At 44.9% G+C, this 16,074-nt stretch overlaps 1 protein-coding gene across 7 annotated transcripts in view; it reads right to left on the minus strand.

Moving 5' to 3' along the window:
• Positions 1 to 16,074, minus strand: part of APOO (apolipoprotein O) — a 74,586-nt gene that overhangs the window by 19,912 nt on the left and 38,600 nt on the right. For all 7 annotated transcript variants that reach the window (NR_026545.4, XM_011545587.4, NM_024122.5 and 4 more), the window contains 3 exons: positions 15,329 to 15,424; positions 5,378 to 5,469; positions 3,038 to 3,118 (listed from right to left, as the gene is read on the minus strand). Coding sequence is in view for 6 of the 7 variants with exons in the window: in XM_011545587.4 (XP_011543889.1) it covers positions 3,038 to 3,118; positions 5,378 to 5,469; positions 15,329 to 15,424 (269 nt within the window). In the remaining variant the exon portion in view is untranslated. The remainder of the gene's footprint in view (positions 1 to 3,037; positions 3,119 to 5,377; positions 5,470 to 15,328; positions 15,425 to 16,074) is intronic.

Here is a 16,074-nt window from a genome sequence, read left to right on the forward strand (position 1 = left end):
AATAAATAAACCAAAAAATAAAAAACAAAAATCCCCCTGAAGCCCATGAAATCTAAAGTGGGGGGGGTGAAGCAAGATCAACAAAAAACAATGCCACTTCATTATATCAAGTAATTCCTGAAATTTAAGAATATTGAATTTTGAATTAATAGGGCCTTCTGCTATTTTTCCTTTAAAACTTGTAATAAATATTTAATGCAGTCAACATTAATTTTTTGTATTTTTAGTAGAGATGAGGTTTCACCGTGTTAGCTAGGATGGTCTCGATCTCCTGACCTCGTGATCCGCCCACCTCGGCCTCCCAAAATTCTAGGATTACAGGCATGAGCCACCGAGCCCGACCGTTTTTTTTTTTTGTTTGTTTGTTTGTTTGTTTTTGATACAGGGTTTCACTCCCATTCACCAGGCTGGAGTGCAGTGGGGTGAACATGGCTCACCACAAACTCTACCTCCTGGGCTCATGAGATTCTCCTGCCTCAGCCTCCCAAGTAGATGGGACTACAGGTGCATGCCACCACACCTGGTTATTATTTTTTTTTTGGTAGTTTTTGTAGAGACAGGGTTTTGCCATATTGCCCAAGCTGGTCTCGAACACCTAGGCTCAAAGCGATTTGCCTGCCTCAGCCTCCCAAAGTGCTGGGATTTCAGGCATGAGCCACTGTGCCTGGCCCTGATTTTATTACCTTCTATTGAGAACAGACAGCTGTCAATAAAATTATCCTTGGAGAGTAACAAACAGGAGAAAGCCTTAAGTTCTCAATGACTCTGAAGAAGGCAAGGGTATAAAGACAGAGAGAAATGCAAACCAATCATGAGCTAATTAAAAATCTTTACCACCTCACTCTAAAAAGATCTGCATATAAATTTGGGTAGCTTTAATATCTAATGTCTTCAAATGACCAGAAAATGTTGGCCTGCTTAACTGGTATCCTAACCACAGTCCAGCTGCTTCTGCACTGGGCTGAATTCTTAGCACAGTCAGAGAATGCTGTTTCCAAGCCAGAGGCTCCCGCAGCCCTCACTTTAGCTTTGGTGTGCGTGTGTGTCTGCACAGACACCACAGTGAGCACTCCGGGGAGCCTGGGGGACTCCCTCTGGCTTTGGTGTGCTTCAGTCTGCAGTCACACCACAATGAAGGCTCGCAGTTGAGGCTTTTAGTCTCACTTTCCACATTTCTGTCTAGGGCTGTTTAGAGATTTCTTGATATTTTACTTCCTTTCCCATATAAAATTTAGTGTGCATTTGTTTTTTTGCTTGTTTGTTTTTGTTTTTTTGAGATGAAGTCTCGCTCTGTTGCCCAGGCTAGAGTACAGTGGCGCAATCTTGGCTGACTGCAACCTCTGCCTCCTGGGTTCAAGCAATTCTCCTGCCTCAGCCTCCTGAGTAGCCGGGATTACAGACGTGCATCACCATGCCCAGCTAATTTTTGTATTTTTTTAGTAGAGACAGGGTTTCATCATGTTGGCCAGGCTGGTCTGGAACTCCCGACCTCAGGTGCTCCACCCGCCTCGGCCTCCCAAAGTGCTGGGATTACAGGCATGAGCCACCGCACCTGGCCGCATTTGTTAAGGAATTTTTTAAAAAGGAAAGGAAGCTTCCATAGAAAATATCAGAGAAATAAAACAAAAAACAATCAAAAAAACAGGGATTGCCAAAAGACTCTTGATATTGGTATAGAATTTCCTATTCAAGAGCTAGTTTAAATAGGCTCGAGAAGGACTAATTCCTTTAGAAACCACCAGTATAAAAATTAGTGGGGTTTTTTTTCTTTTTTTCTTTTTTTTTTTTTTTGAGACAGGGCCTCACTGTGTTGCTCAAGCTGGAGTGCAGTGGCGCAATCATGGCTCACTCTATTTAGCCCTTACCTTCTGGGCTCAAGCAATCCTCCCACCTCAGCCTCCCAAAGTATGCCACCATGCCCAGCTAAATTTTTTATTTTTTGGAGAGATAGGGTCTCACTATGTTGCCTAGGCTGGTCTCAAACTCCTGAGCTCAAGTGATCCTCCCACCTTGGACTCCCAATGTGCTGGGCGTGAGTCACTGCACCTGGCCAAAAAATGAGTCTTAAGATTTCACTAGAAGATTATTTATGTAAATAATAAAGAGGGCTTATAATTTATTCTGTTACTTCCAAATCCCAGTTCAAAATTCTGGATTTTAATTCTGAGATAGTTATTTATATGTATTTTTTTAACTTGTCAATGATTTGAAGCTCAGTTATTTATTTTTTTTTAAAAAGTATTTTCATTGAAAAATGAACTTCCTTCAATCTGTGATGTAGAAGGTATATTAATATAAGAAGTCTAATTCTTCCTTAGCTGGCTGTGCCTCTGAGTGCTTAGTAGAGACATGATACCTTATTCTCTACTCATTCTTCCTTATCAGTGGGAGGAAGGGAATGTTCCAAGCGAACATAGGCAACATTTAATCGGCTATGTGGCCACTAAAAGAGATGAAAGGTGACAAGTTCTTACAATTACACAACTTCTTCCCTCTGTTGCTCATGTACTAGACAGCACAGAGAACGTGGCCTTTAGCTGGTAGCTAGTCCCCAACATACGATGGCTCACACCCTCAGCTGAGCTGAGAAGCCTGGGGGATAAACAGAAACAGCAGTGCTAAGGAAAGAACAGAACTCATGATAAGTGAAAAACCAAGAGGAAGAGGCTCTCAATTATGTCTTTTTCCTGGGAGCATAGTACATTCCCTTTGAATTCAGTTTCAATAAGACTTTTAAATAATACGCTACACTTAGAGGAAACTAGGAATACAATATAATGGAAAATATGGTCTAAGACTACGGTGGAATGCATTGCATTTTATGGTCACCACTTATTTGGCCCTGCTGATAATAACCAAATACTCAGAAGTTCTACTGCTCTACCAAGAAAGGTCACCTGAAAAATCTGAGCTGGAGACAGAACTAGAAGCAAACAGAAAAAGCAATAAATCAACAGGGTTATCAAATATTTTACAAAACCCTAGAGAAACCACATATTTAAACCAAAAGGAAGATAATGAAAAAGATGCTCCTCACCTTTTGAAAGTTCTCCTTCCACAAATCTTCTATGACTATATATCCTCGTAAACCCCAGTCATATAATCTCTCCCCACTGACCTTAAAACAAAATAGAAAAGATCTTACCATCTGACCCAGCAATCCCTATTATTGGGAATAATAATGGAATATAAATCATTTTACTATAAAGATATATGCATGCATATGTTCATCATAGCACTATGCATAATAGCAAAACATGGAATCAACCTAAATGCCCATCAATGGTAGATTTTTTTTTTTTTTTTGAGATGGAGTTTTCGCTCTTGTTGCCCAGGCTGGAGTGGAATGGCGCAATCTTGGCTCACTGCAACCTCTGCCTCCTGGGTTCAAGCAATTTTCTTGCCTCAGCCTCCCAAGTAGTTGGGATTACAGGCATGTGCCACCACACCCAGCTAATTTTTTGTATTTAGTAGAGACAGGGTTTCACCACATTGGTCAGGCTGGTCTCGAACTCCTGGCCTCAGGTGATCCACCTACCTCGGCCTTCCAAAGTGCTGGGATTACAGGCGTGGGCCAACATGCCCAGCCAATGGTAGACTTGATAAAGAAAATGTGGTACTTATACACCACAGAATACTATGCAGCCAAAAAGAATGAGCTCATGTCCTTTGCAGGGACAGGGATGGAGCTGGGGGCCATTATCTTAAGTGAACTAACATAGGAACAGAAAACCAAATACCACATGTTCTTACTTGTAATTGGGAACTAAACCTTGACAACACATGGACACAAAGAAGGGAACAGAGACCGAGGCCTACTTGAGGGTGGAGGGTGAGAAGAGGGCGAGGATCAAAAAACTACCCATCAGGTACTAGGCTTATTACCCGGGTAACAAAATAATCTGTACACCAAACCCTCATGACACACGATTTACAATAACAAACCTGCACATGTACACCTAACGCTAAAAGTTAAAAAAGAAAGAAATTTAAAAAAAAAAAAAAAAGACTCCTACTCTGGGGACAGCCACATATGCTTCTCAACGAGCAACCAAGTTCACCCTCTCCACTCTAGCTATTTACTGCTTAAACCATAACAGGCTGAAATAATGTTTAATTATTTTTATATCTAGGGCTGGAAGATGTTACTCACTGTTCCTGACCTGGGGCTGGAGCAGGGACAGAAGCATTAACTATCTGCCTCCAGGACTGTTACAAACAATGTTGAGCAAATGCTGGAAAGTACTGGTATTTGTCATCAAAGCCATCAAGCTCCCCAAGCTGGGGCCACTGGACTCTCACATACAACTGTAGCCCAATCAAGGAATCTGGATTCAATACTGTCATGAACAACCAAGGAAGCTCAGTCTCAGGTCAGTCTGGCTCAGAGTCCAATTTGGGTGACTGCACTGCTGTCTGCTCCTGGAACTGAGTTTCCATGTGATGTGGTAGTTCCAGCAGCTAAAGTCCCTGTGTCCACAATCTGCCCAGGACCTCAAAACCTAGAGCCTGTCTTGTTCTTACCAGTTCCTGAGGGACACCATCTCTAGAGTCCCACTCACTCCAGATATCACCCTTTTCAGGCTACCTACTGGTCTCCATCAGTGGTTCTCAAACACCATAGGCATTAATAACAAACCACCGGAGGGCTTGCTAAAACACAGACTGCTGGCCCTTACTCCCAGAGCTTCTGATTCAGTCAGTCTGGGGTGGGGCCTGAGAGTTTGCATTTCTAACAAGTTCTCAGGTGATGCTGCTGCTTCTGGTCTGGTAACACATTTTAAGAATCGGTGGTACAGCTTTATCCATGTTGCCTGCCACCGTGATAGACCTGCTTGCCAGGGTACCATAAGACTGAGGCTTCAAGGATAAGAAAGGAGCAGCCAACTGAAAGCCCCGAAAAGGGCACTCCAAGCAGAGGGGATTACAGTCCCCAAAGTCCCCAGCAAGGAAAGCAAGGGCACCAGTACTAGGGAGGAGTGGAAGTCAGAGTAGTCTGGGTCTACAATACCAACGAGAGCAGGTTGTGACCGGACATGCATAAACTGAGTGACCCATAATTATCAGCTTTGGAATTTGAGTCTCTAGACTTCCATGTAAGTATACAAAAAATGTATATTAAATTTTTGCTGATGAACATTCAAACAATCACGCAAATTCGTGTTCAAATTCTGTGAACACTGGCATTACTGGAAGAAGGGCCAGAACTGAGGCATATAGTGGAGAAAATCATTTAAATTTTCTGTATTCATCTATATGTACAAACAAATTTTAGTCTGGTGTTATAAGAACTGCAAAATAAAATAAAATTAAGCATCAGATTCATACACACACAAACAAGAATGAGGGACATCATGGATTACAGAGTTTCTCTTACCTGGGCAAACACGATGGCTTGTTGTGGATAATAGAGGGAGGCAGCTAATCCCATGAAACCAGGCGGATACACTAGCTTCTTTATTTTTGAACCTGATAAATAAAAGGTTGTACACGCCATCAGATGATTCATTATCCTCACCATCACAATTTACCTTATCCATTTAATACGGAACAAGGCCAGGCACAGTGGCTCACGCCTATAATCCAAAAGCTCTGGGAGGCCGAGGCGGGAGGATCACTTGAGGCCAGGAGTTTGACACCAGCCTGGGCAACATAGTCAGATCCTGTCTCTACAAAGATTAAAATAAAAAAATTAGCCAGGCGTGGTAGTGTGTGCCTATAGTCCTAGCTACTTGGGAGGCTGAGGTGGGAGGATTCCTTGATCCCAGGAGTTCGAGGTTACAATGAGCTATGATCACACCTCTAAACTCCAGCCTGGGTGACAGAGCAAGACCGTGTCTCTTAAGAAACCCAAACAACAAAACCAAAATAACCCCACCACTGAATAAGATTTCTTTGGTCCTAAACTGAAAGAATGTGCCAAATAAAGTCATGTGCACCAAAACGCTTTTGCACTGCTTTATTGAGATAAAATTCATATTCACCCATTTAAAGTACAGTTCAATGGCTTTTAGTATATTGACAGAGGTGTGTAACCATCATTACAATTAACTTTAGAGCTTTTTCATAATCACTAAAAGAAACCCATTAGCAGTCATTCCTCAACTCCCCCGTACCGTCCAGCCCTAGGCAACCATTGATCTACTTTCTATCTCTATGTGTTTGCCTACTCTGGATATTTCTTTTTTTTTTTTTTGAGACAGAGTTTTGCTCTTGTCACCCAGGCTGGAGTGCAATGGCGCAATCTTGGCTCACTGCAACCTCTGCCTCTCGGGTTCAGGCAATTCTCTTGCCTCAGCCTCTCGAGTAGCTGGGGTTACAGGCACACGCCACCATGCCCGGCTAATTTTGTATTTTTAGTAGGCATGGGGTTTCGCCATGCTGGCCAGGCTGGTCTCGAACTCCTGACCTCAGGTGATCCACCCGCCACGGCCTCCCAAAGTGCTGGGATTACAGGTGTAAGCCGCTGCGCCCGGCCCTCTGGGTATTTCATATAAATGGAATCATGCAGTAAATATACGGTCCTTTGTGACTGGCTTCTTTCACTCAGCACCAAGTGTTTTCAAAAGAACACCTTTTTTTCCCTAAGAGAGCAGAAAAAAAGATTATTTTAAAAATAAACAAATGAGTATTTTGGTTTCTAGGGTTTATGTTCTTTTATAGCAATCTGGCTTCCTATATAAATACTAAACACAAGCGTTCTTCTTCTCCCCTTTCTGCAACCCCGTTAAAAAAACAGTAAGAAAAAACATTAATAAACCCACAATGAAGAGAAAATGTGTGGAAGGGCCACTGGCAGAAAGGAAGTGTCAATCAATTTTCAGAAAATGGAGAGTGAACGGAAATAAGAGGACACACTGCCTTGAAATCTTGAAATCTTGAGGAGGAGTGCAGCCTCAGAGGGAGCAGATCTGTCCCAGGCAGCCCCAGGGAGATTCCAGATCCAGAGATGGCAGGTACCATGGGGAGTGGAGATGGCAACCAGGGAGCAAGACAAGGGCACAGGACAAACGCAAGTCCGATGCATGGACCAGCATGGCCTTTCCTTCCCCTATGCCATCCCAGTACAAAACTACCCCTGGCCAGGAAGTCACACCAGTTCAAAATGTTAAAAAACCCAGTAAACCAGGGTTACTGGGTGTGGTGGCTCACACCTGTAATCCTAGCACTTGGGGAGGTCGAGGCATAAGGATTGCTTGAGGCCAGGAATTGAGACCAGCTGGAGTAACATAGCGAGACTCCATCTCCATTTCTTTTTTTTCTGTTGAGAGAGGGCCTCACTCGGTCTCCCAGGCTGGAGTGCAGTGGCACAATCATGGCTCACTGCAGCCTCGACCTCCCAGGTTCAAACTATCTTCCTGCCTCAGCCCCTCAAGTAGGTGGGACAAGAGGTGCAAGCCATCATGCCTGGCTAATTTTTTTTTTTTCTGTAGTTTTTGTAGACACGGGGTTTCCTCATGTTGCCCAGGTTGGTCTTGAACTCCTGAGCTCAAGCAATCCACCTGCCTCAGCCTCCCAAAGTGCTGGGATCACAGGCATGAGCCAGTACGCCCAGCCCCCCATCTCTATTCCTTTAAAAAAAAAAAAAAAATGAGCCTGATGCAGTGGCTCACACCTGTAATCCCAGCACTTTGGGAGGCTGAGGTGGGAGGACTGATTGAGCCCAGGAGTTTGAGACCAGCCTGGGCAACTTAGGGAGACCACATCTCTACAAAAAATTAAAAAATTAGTAAGGTGTGGTGGCATGTGCCTGTGGTCCTAGCTACTCAGGAGGCTGAGGCTGGAGGATTGCTTGAGCCCAGGAGTTCAAGGCTACTGTGAGCTGTGTCTATGCCACTGCACTCCAGCCTGGGTGATAATTTGGATGTTGTTCTCTCTGAATCTCATGTTAAATTGTAATCCCCAATGTTGGAGGTGGGGCCTGGTGGGACGTGACCTGATCATGAAGGTGGATTTCTCACAGATGGTTTAACACCATTCCCTTGGTGCTGTCCTTGTGCAACAGTGAGTTCTCTTGAGATCTGGTTGTTTAAAAATGTGTGACACCTCCCCCACCTCTTTCTCTTGCTCGCACTCTTGCCATGTGAGACACCAGCTCCCCCTTTGCCTTCCACCATGATTGCAAGCAGCCCAAGGCCTCACCAGAAGCCGAGGAGATGCTGGTGCCATGCTTCCTGTACAGCCTGCAGAACTGTGAGCCAACTAAACCTCTTTTCTTTATAAATTACCCAGTGTTAGGTTATAGCAATGCAAGAATGGCCTAACACATTGGGTGATAAAGCAAGATCCTGTCTCAAAAAAAAAAAAAAAAAAAAAAGAGTTAAAACAGTGGGGGCAGGGTATCACTAAAGAAACACCATGGATTTCCTGCTGAGAACCAAGAGAGCTGGAAGGGGTGAGTATGTCAGTGCCTGAGAGAAAAGCCCTCCTCACACTGGCCCTGGGTGCACCCTTGTATATGGTCACTTCCTGCCCAGCTCCCCTGAGGTAGAACCTGCCCGTCAGTGGGCCCCATGTACAGACAGGGAGTTCTTTTTTTTTTTTTTTTTTTTTTCCCGAGACGGAGTCTTGCTCTGTTGCTCAGGTTGGAGTGCAGTGGCGTGATCTCAGCTCACTGCAACCTCTGCCTCCTGGGTTCAAGTGATTCTCTAGCCTCAGCCTCCTGAGTAGCTAGGATTACAGACACCCTCCACCACACCCGGCTATTTTTTGTATTTTTAGTAGAGATGGGGTTTTCCCATGTTGGCCAGGCTGGTCTTGAACTCCTGACCTCAGGTGATCCGCCTGCCTCAGCCTCCCAAAGTGCTGGGATTACAGGTGAAAGAGTTCTTATTAGCATTTCAGCTGCCTCACTTTGAAACATGACTGGATAACCAAGAATCACCAGTCATTTGTGGAAAGCCTGAAACATAAAGGAGAAAGACCAAGACAAGCACAAAGGAAACAGAAGAACTTCAAAACAAAACTAAACCTATTACTAAGTATCATCAAATAAATTTTAAAAGCCACTACATTAAAAGAAAAAAATAATTCTATGAAAAAAAGAACATTCAAAGAACAGGAAGGAGCTCTTGGAAATGACCAAAGCAAAAAAAATTCAAAAGGAACAAAATAAAATAATCAAGAAAATATAAGAGACACATAGGGTCCTTTTAAATAACTCAATTGCTAATTAATGCGTTGAGGAAGGAAAAAGAATGAGAGTAAATTTTCAAAGATACACAAGATAGGCTGGGCGCAGTGGCTCATGCCTATAATCCTAGCGCTTTGGGAGGCTGAAGAAGGAAGACTGCTTGAGCTCGGGAGTTTGAGACCAGCCTGGGCAACATGGTGACACCCGGTCTCCACAAAAAAAAAAATTAGTCAGGTGTGGTGGTGCATGCCTATAGTCGCAGCTACTCAGGAGGCTGAGATGGGAGGATTGCTTGAGCCTGAGGAGGTCAAGACTGCAGTGAGCCCTGATCATGCCACTGCACTACAACCTGGGTGACAGAGTGAGATCATCTCTCAGAAAGAAAAGAGAAGAGAAGAGAAGAGAAAGGGACGGGACGAGAAGGGAAGGAAGAAGGAGGGAAGGGAAGGGAGAAGGAGGGAGGGGAGGGAGGGATGCAGGGGATGGAAGGGGAGGGAGGAGGGAAGGGGAGGGAGAAGGAGGGAAGGGGAGAGAGGGAGGGGAGGGCAGGGAAGGGAGAAGGAGGGAGGGAGGGAGGAAAAGAAGATATTTTCCTTCAGCTGGATGCTGCAAGCCGCCATATTGTTTGGGCAAGAATGAAAACACTATATCCAAGGCTGGGCATGGTGGCTCATGCCTGTAATCCCAGCACTTTGGGAGGCTGAGGCGGGTGGATCACTGGAGGTCAGGAGTTCAAGACCAGCCTGGCCAACATGGTGAAACCCCATCTCTACTAAAACCACAAAAATTAGCCAGGCGTGGTGGTGCACGCCTGTAATCCCAGCTAACTGGGAGGTTGAGGCGTGAGAATCACTTGAACCCAGAGGTGGAGGAGGTTGCAGTGAGCGGAGATTGTGACACTGCACTCCAGCCTGGGTGACAGAGTGAGACTCCGTCTCAAAAAAAAAGAAAAGACTTCTATCTAGTCACAGCACCAAAGAAATTCAGAACACTAAAGATTCACAGAAGATCTTCAAAGCTTCCAGGAAGAAAAAAAAAATGTATCACCTGTTCAGAAGCAGCAAATATCCAGAATGGCTACTGACTCTCACATCTACAACGCCAGATGCTAGAATACATGGCTTTGAAAGTTTTGATGGCAAACAAAATTCAGTGCCCAACCAAACTGTCACATGGTATGAGGGCAGAAAGTGATTTTCAGACATGGAAGGTCTTGGGAAGTTTACCTCCAACATACGCTTTTTTGAAAGTGACTTAAGCATGTAGTTCAACAGCACGGCAGAGTAAACCAAGGAGAAGATGACATGGAACCCAGGAAAAGGGGGCTTAAACCCAAGAAAGTGTGAAGAAGACCAGTCCCAAAACAAGAACTGTGTTGAAGTCTCAGGCCAGATTGTAGGAGGATATAGAGCTGTGGAGCAAGGGAAATGGACAGAAGAGACAGCAGGACACAGAGCCTGGAGAAACCTGAGAATGAGGTTAAAAAAACCAGTAGAGGATGAAACTAGAGAATACACATGGCCTTGACTCCACTGAGAGGCATAGTGTTTTTTGCTGTGGGACCCATATAGATGCTAGCAGAATGTGTGTGTTATTGATTTTTTTTTTTTTTTTTGAGATGGAGTTTTGCTCTTGCTGCCCAGGCTGGAGTGCAATGGTGCAATCTCGGCTCACTGCAATCTCCACCTCTTGGGTTCAAGTGATTCTCCTGCCTCAGCCTCCCAAGAATCTGGGATTACAGGTATGCGCCACCATGCCCAAATAATTTTGTATTTTTAGTAGAGACAGGGTTTCACTATGTTGGTCAGTCTGGTCTCGAACTCCTGACCTCAGGTGATCCACCCACCTCAGCCTCCCAAAGTGCTGGGATTACAGGTGTTAGCCACCATACCCGGCTGATTTGTTTGTTTGTTTGTTTGTTTTGAGATGGGGTCTCGCTCTGTTGCTCAGGCTGGAGTGCAGTGGTGCGATCTCGGCTTGCTGCAACCTCTGCCTCCCGGGTTCAAGTGATTCTCCTGCTTTCGCCTCCCAAGTAGCTGGGATTACAGGCACCCGCCACCACGCCTGGCTAATGTTTGTATTTTTAGTAGAGACGGGTTTCACCATGTTGGCTAGGCTAGTCTTGAACTCCTGACCTCAGGTGATACATCCGCCTTGAACTTCTGAAGTGCTGGGATTACAGGTGTGAGCCACTGTACCCCGACAGAATGTGTACATTAATCCTTAAACGGTTCTAATCACATAAGTACTGTTTATTGGCTTTAAAACTTTAAACAGAGAAATCCCCAACGATGGAACTGGGACTGCTGAAGAGAATACAAATGTTATCAACCTAGACTATTAATGATTTACTGTTTCTCTCCTGATCCTGTTGCATGAATTGAAAGGGTATAATTATCCTAGAAGAGAAAAGCCTGTGATATCCCTGCATATGGCCCCTCCCCTGCCCCCATCCACTTGAAGCAGCTCACCCAAGTGAGGACCAGGGAAAGAGCAGCCAACCTGCCACCCAGTCATTTCTCACTCCTCCAGGGAGAGCCGAGAAGTGGCAGCTCTCGGGCCTCCAGCTCCTGCTGGTTCACACAATGAGCCAGAGACCCAAGAACTTCAGGAAGGAGGTGTAATCATACTCCCCTGCCCCCACCTCCATGCCCTATCTCCCAAGAGGCCAGTGGTACAGGTTGTCACTATCAGCACTGCCAGGGGCGGGGGGAACCACTGGTGGCCAATGCTGGGGAGAGCCACCAGAAGGCAACAATAGTGTCAACAACCACGTGTCATCTTGGAGTGGTCTGGCTGGGCCCACTTCCTCTGAATGGACATCCATTCACCTCTCTGAGAGCCTCTTGTCACCACCACAGTTGTGGCAATCCTCAACAACTGAAGCAGACTACCTTAGCAGATACGCTCAAGAAACCCCACCAGGCCAGGCACAGTGGCTCACAACTATGATCCCAGCACTTTGGGAGGCTGAGGTGGGAGGATCACTTGAGGTCAGGAGTTCGAGACAAGCCTGGTCAACATGGTGAAACCTCGTGTCTACTAAAAATACAAAAATGAGCTGGGCATGGTGGTGCACGCCTGTAGTCCCAGCTACTCGGGAGGCTGAGGCAGGAGAATCACCCGAACCCAGGAGGCAGGGTTGCAGTGAGGCTGAGATGGCGCCACTGCACTCCAGTCTCGGCAACAGAGCAAGACTGTCTCAAAAAAAAAAAAAAGAAACTCCTATCAGGAGGGACCTTCTGCACCCACCCACCCTGCTGCTGCCCTCAAAGGGGCCCATTCACCTGGAGGGGCCTGCAAACCATTCTGGCTACCCACAGACATCCCTATCACCCCACTCATCTTGCTTGGTGAACCCCTCTGATGCTGCTCACCTCAGGTCTTTCTATACCCAACGCTCAGGAGAAAAGACCTGCTATTGCACATGTGTGTGTGCGTGCCTGTGTGAATATTTGTGAAAAAGAATTAAGGTGTCAAATTATTTTAATACTACCAAGCTCTCCCCAGGAAAAGGAAGAAAAGAGACAGAACGAACAAACAAAATCAGAGGACTAGGACCCACTGTAGCAGATGTCCTCATGCTGCTGCTCTGGCCAGGAGAGCACCATCTCCAATCCTCCTTAGGATGGTCATCCTAGTGGATGTTCCAGGGACAAGCTCTCGGCACTGTAGGAACGTACCCACAGCACAGAAAAAGTGCTTTCTTTGGACCTGGAAGATTTTCCCACATGCTCTAACCAGGAGAGGGAGGGGGAAGCTCCTCTCACTCACTTCTACATTCCTATCTCCCTAACGATAGCTGAAATCCCAACACCCTGGCCTTGGGATGTTCATCAATCTCAAACGCTATCTAAATAAGACCGAATGCTCTTCTGAACAGCTTTGCAAGAAATGAGGTGAAAGAAGTTTAGGGAAAAATGTTGGTTCATAAGTTGATTACAAAAATAAGCTGGAAATTTAATTCTGACATATTCTGCATGAGATGGGAGGAGGGCACAAAGACTGTGACATGAGTTGCTTCCACAGGTGAGCTGGTAGTGCCACCAGGGCAGTGTCTACCCTCCAGATTCAAAAATAACAGCCATTAGCTGGGTGCGGCAGCTCATGCCTATAATCCCAGCACTTTGGGGGACACCAAGGGAGGTGGATGGCTTGAGTTCAGGAGTTCAAGAGTTCAAGAGTTCAGGAGTTCAGCCTGAGCAACATAGCGAAACTCCGTCTCTACTAAAAATACAAAAATTACCTGGGCATGGTGGCAGGCGCCTGTAATCCCAGCTACTTGAAAGGCTAAGGTGAGAGGATCACTTGAGCCCAGGAGGTCCAGGCTGCAATGAGCTATGATCACACCACTTCACTCCAGCCTGGGTGACAGAGTGAGACCCTGTCTCAAAAAAGAAATCAATTAAAAAAAAAATAAGGCCAGGTGTAGTGGCTCACACCTGTAATCCCAGCACTTTGGGACACCGAGGCAGGCCGATCACTTGAGGTCAGGAGCTGGAGACCAGCCTGGCTAACATGGCGAAACCCCATCTCTACTAAAAATACAAAAATTAGTTGGGCGTGGTGGTGCACATCTATAATCCCAGCTATTTGGGAGGCTGAGGCAGGAGAATCACTTGAACCCAGGAGGCGGAGGGTGCAGTGAGCCGAGATTGTGCCACTGCACTCCAGCCTGGGCGACAGAGTGAGACTCTATCTCAAATTAAGCTAAACGAAACGAAACGAAACGAAACGAAACGAAACGAAACTAAACTAAACTAAAGTAAAAGCTATTGCATGTAGAGGGAAGATTTTTTAAATTGGAGGAATAGGACTGATACAGTTTGAATGATTGTCCCCTTTAAATCTCATGTTGAAATGTGAACCCCCACGCTGGGAGGTGTTTGGGTCATGGGGGTGGATCCCTCATGAATGGCTTGGTGCCCTCCCTGTGGGAATGAGTGATTTCTCACTCTATTAGTTAACATGAGGGCTGGTTGTTTAAAAGAGCCTGGCATCTCTCTAGCTCCCTCTCTCACCATGTGATGCGCCTGCTCCCCCTTTGCCTTCCACCACGATTGGAAGCTTTCTGAAACCCTCAACAGAAATAGATGCTGATGCCACGCTTCTTGTACAGCTTGCAGAACCATAAGCCAAATAAACCTCTTTTTTTTTTCTTTTGAGACGGAGTCTCGCACTGTCGCCCAGGCTGAAGTGCAGTGGCTCGAACTCAGCTCACTGCAAGCCCCGTCTCCCAGGTTCACACCGTTCTCCTGCCTCAGCCTCCCGAGTAGCTGGGACTACAGACACCTGCCACCACACCCGGCTAATTTTTTGCATTTTTAGTAGAGACGGGGTTTCACCGTGTTAGCCAGGATGGTCTCGATCTCCTGACCTTGTGATCCACCTGCCTCGGCCTCCCAAAGTGCTGGGATTACAGGCGTGAGCCACTGCGCCTGGCATCTCTTTTCTTTATAATTACCCAGCCTCAGATATTCCTTTATAGCAATGCAAAACAAACTAATACAGGGACCAGAGTAGTCTCTATGGTTCTCTTTTACAGGGGTCTGATTACAGGATTCATAAACTTTCTTCATTAGGAATGATGGTAATGTCAGAATTTTATATCATAAACATTTAGTTTCCAACTAGCAAAACTTCAAGTAGTTGATAACAAATTCATCTCATCATAGCAAAGTATTTTATTAGCCTTTATTTCCTATAGATATTTTATAATCTAGCAGTATAGTAATATTTTTAAGTTGGCATTTGTTAGTATTTAAAGCATTTTTAAAGTTTTTGTCATCACTGACTGAAGGCATGACAAATCAAGAAGGTAATAAAATCTCTATTAAATCACTGCTCTATCTACTGTGATTAATATAGCTTGATCTTAATAGTGAAACGTTTAGAAACAGTTGATTTCTCAGGTGTGAAAGACTTTAAAATTTTGCTCTTTCTGTACCAAAGAACAACAGAGATTTGATCAAGTAAATGTGCCTATAAAGGATAACTTCTTTTTTTTACCAAGAGTATACAATTTCTATTTATGTTTAAAATCAAATATGATAACCATATCCATTATACATTAAGAAAGCCGTATTTAGGAACCAACTCATTATTCTGAAACCTGGTAAATGAAGGGAAAGAATGAAACATATATTCTATCTCTGCTTTATGAGCTGACTGTTAAAGCCATAAAATTGCACCTACCTCTAGCCAAAAGGAGTCCAATAAGGCCAGCAAAACCAATAACACCAAGTCTCGGAAAAAATCCAGGAGGTGCATTTTGGAGATAGTCATAGCTGTCTACAATAGAATTAGACCAGGAAGCAGTTCCATAAATTTCTCATTAAAAAACAAAACAAAAGTCTTATACAGTATATAATATGTATATATAGTATCAAGTGCTTTTCAAACCACATATTCTCTGCATCCTGCTACTATACTTCTCTTCAACATACTCTTTTTATGTGACATATAAACAAGATTTACTATTCACATAGCAAGTGTCCAATTTTCTTTTCTTTCTTTTTTTTTTTTTTTGAGATGAAGTTTTGCTCTTGTCGCCCAGGCTGGTGTGCAATGGCGTGATCTCGGCTCACTGCAACCTCTGCCTCCCAGGTTCAAGCAATTCTCCTGCCTCAGCCTCCCAAGTAGCTGGGATTACAAGCGCCCGCCACCACGCCCAGCTAACTTTTGTATTTTTAGTAGAGATGGGGTTTCACCATGTTGGCCAGGCTGGTCTCGAACTCCTGACCTCAGGTGATCTACCCGCCTTAGCCTCCCAAAGTGCTGGGATTACAGGTGTGAGCCACTGCGCCCGGCTGCAAGTGTCCAATTTTCAAGTACCTTTGGTCCAACAACCTACTGACAATGAAGTAAATGTTAAATTACTTTCATATTCCTGAAAGCAACAGATCTGAATCAGCAATTTGCACAGGGAGGAATACAAATAC

This window comes from Homo sapiens, chromosome X (assembly GCF_000001405.40).
Source record: "Homo sapiens chromosome X, GRCh38.p14 Primary Assembly".
NCBI lineage: Eukaryota > Metazoa > Chordata > Mammalia > Primates > Hominidae > Homo > Homo sapiens.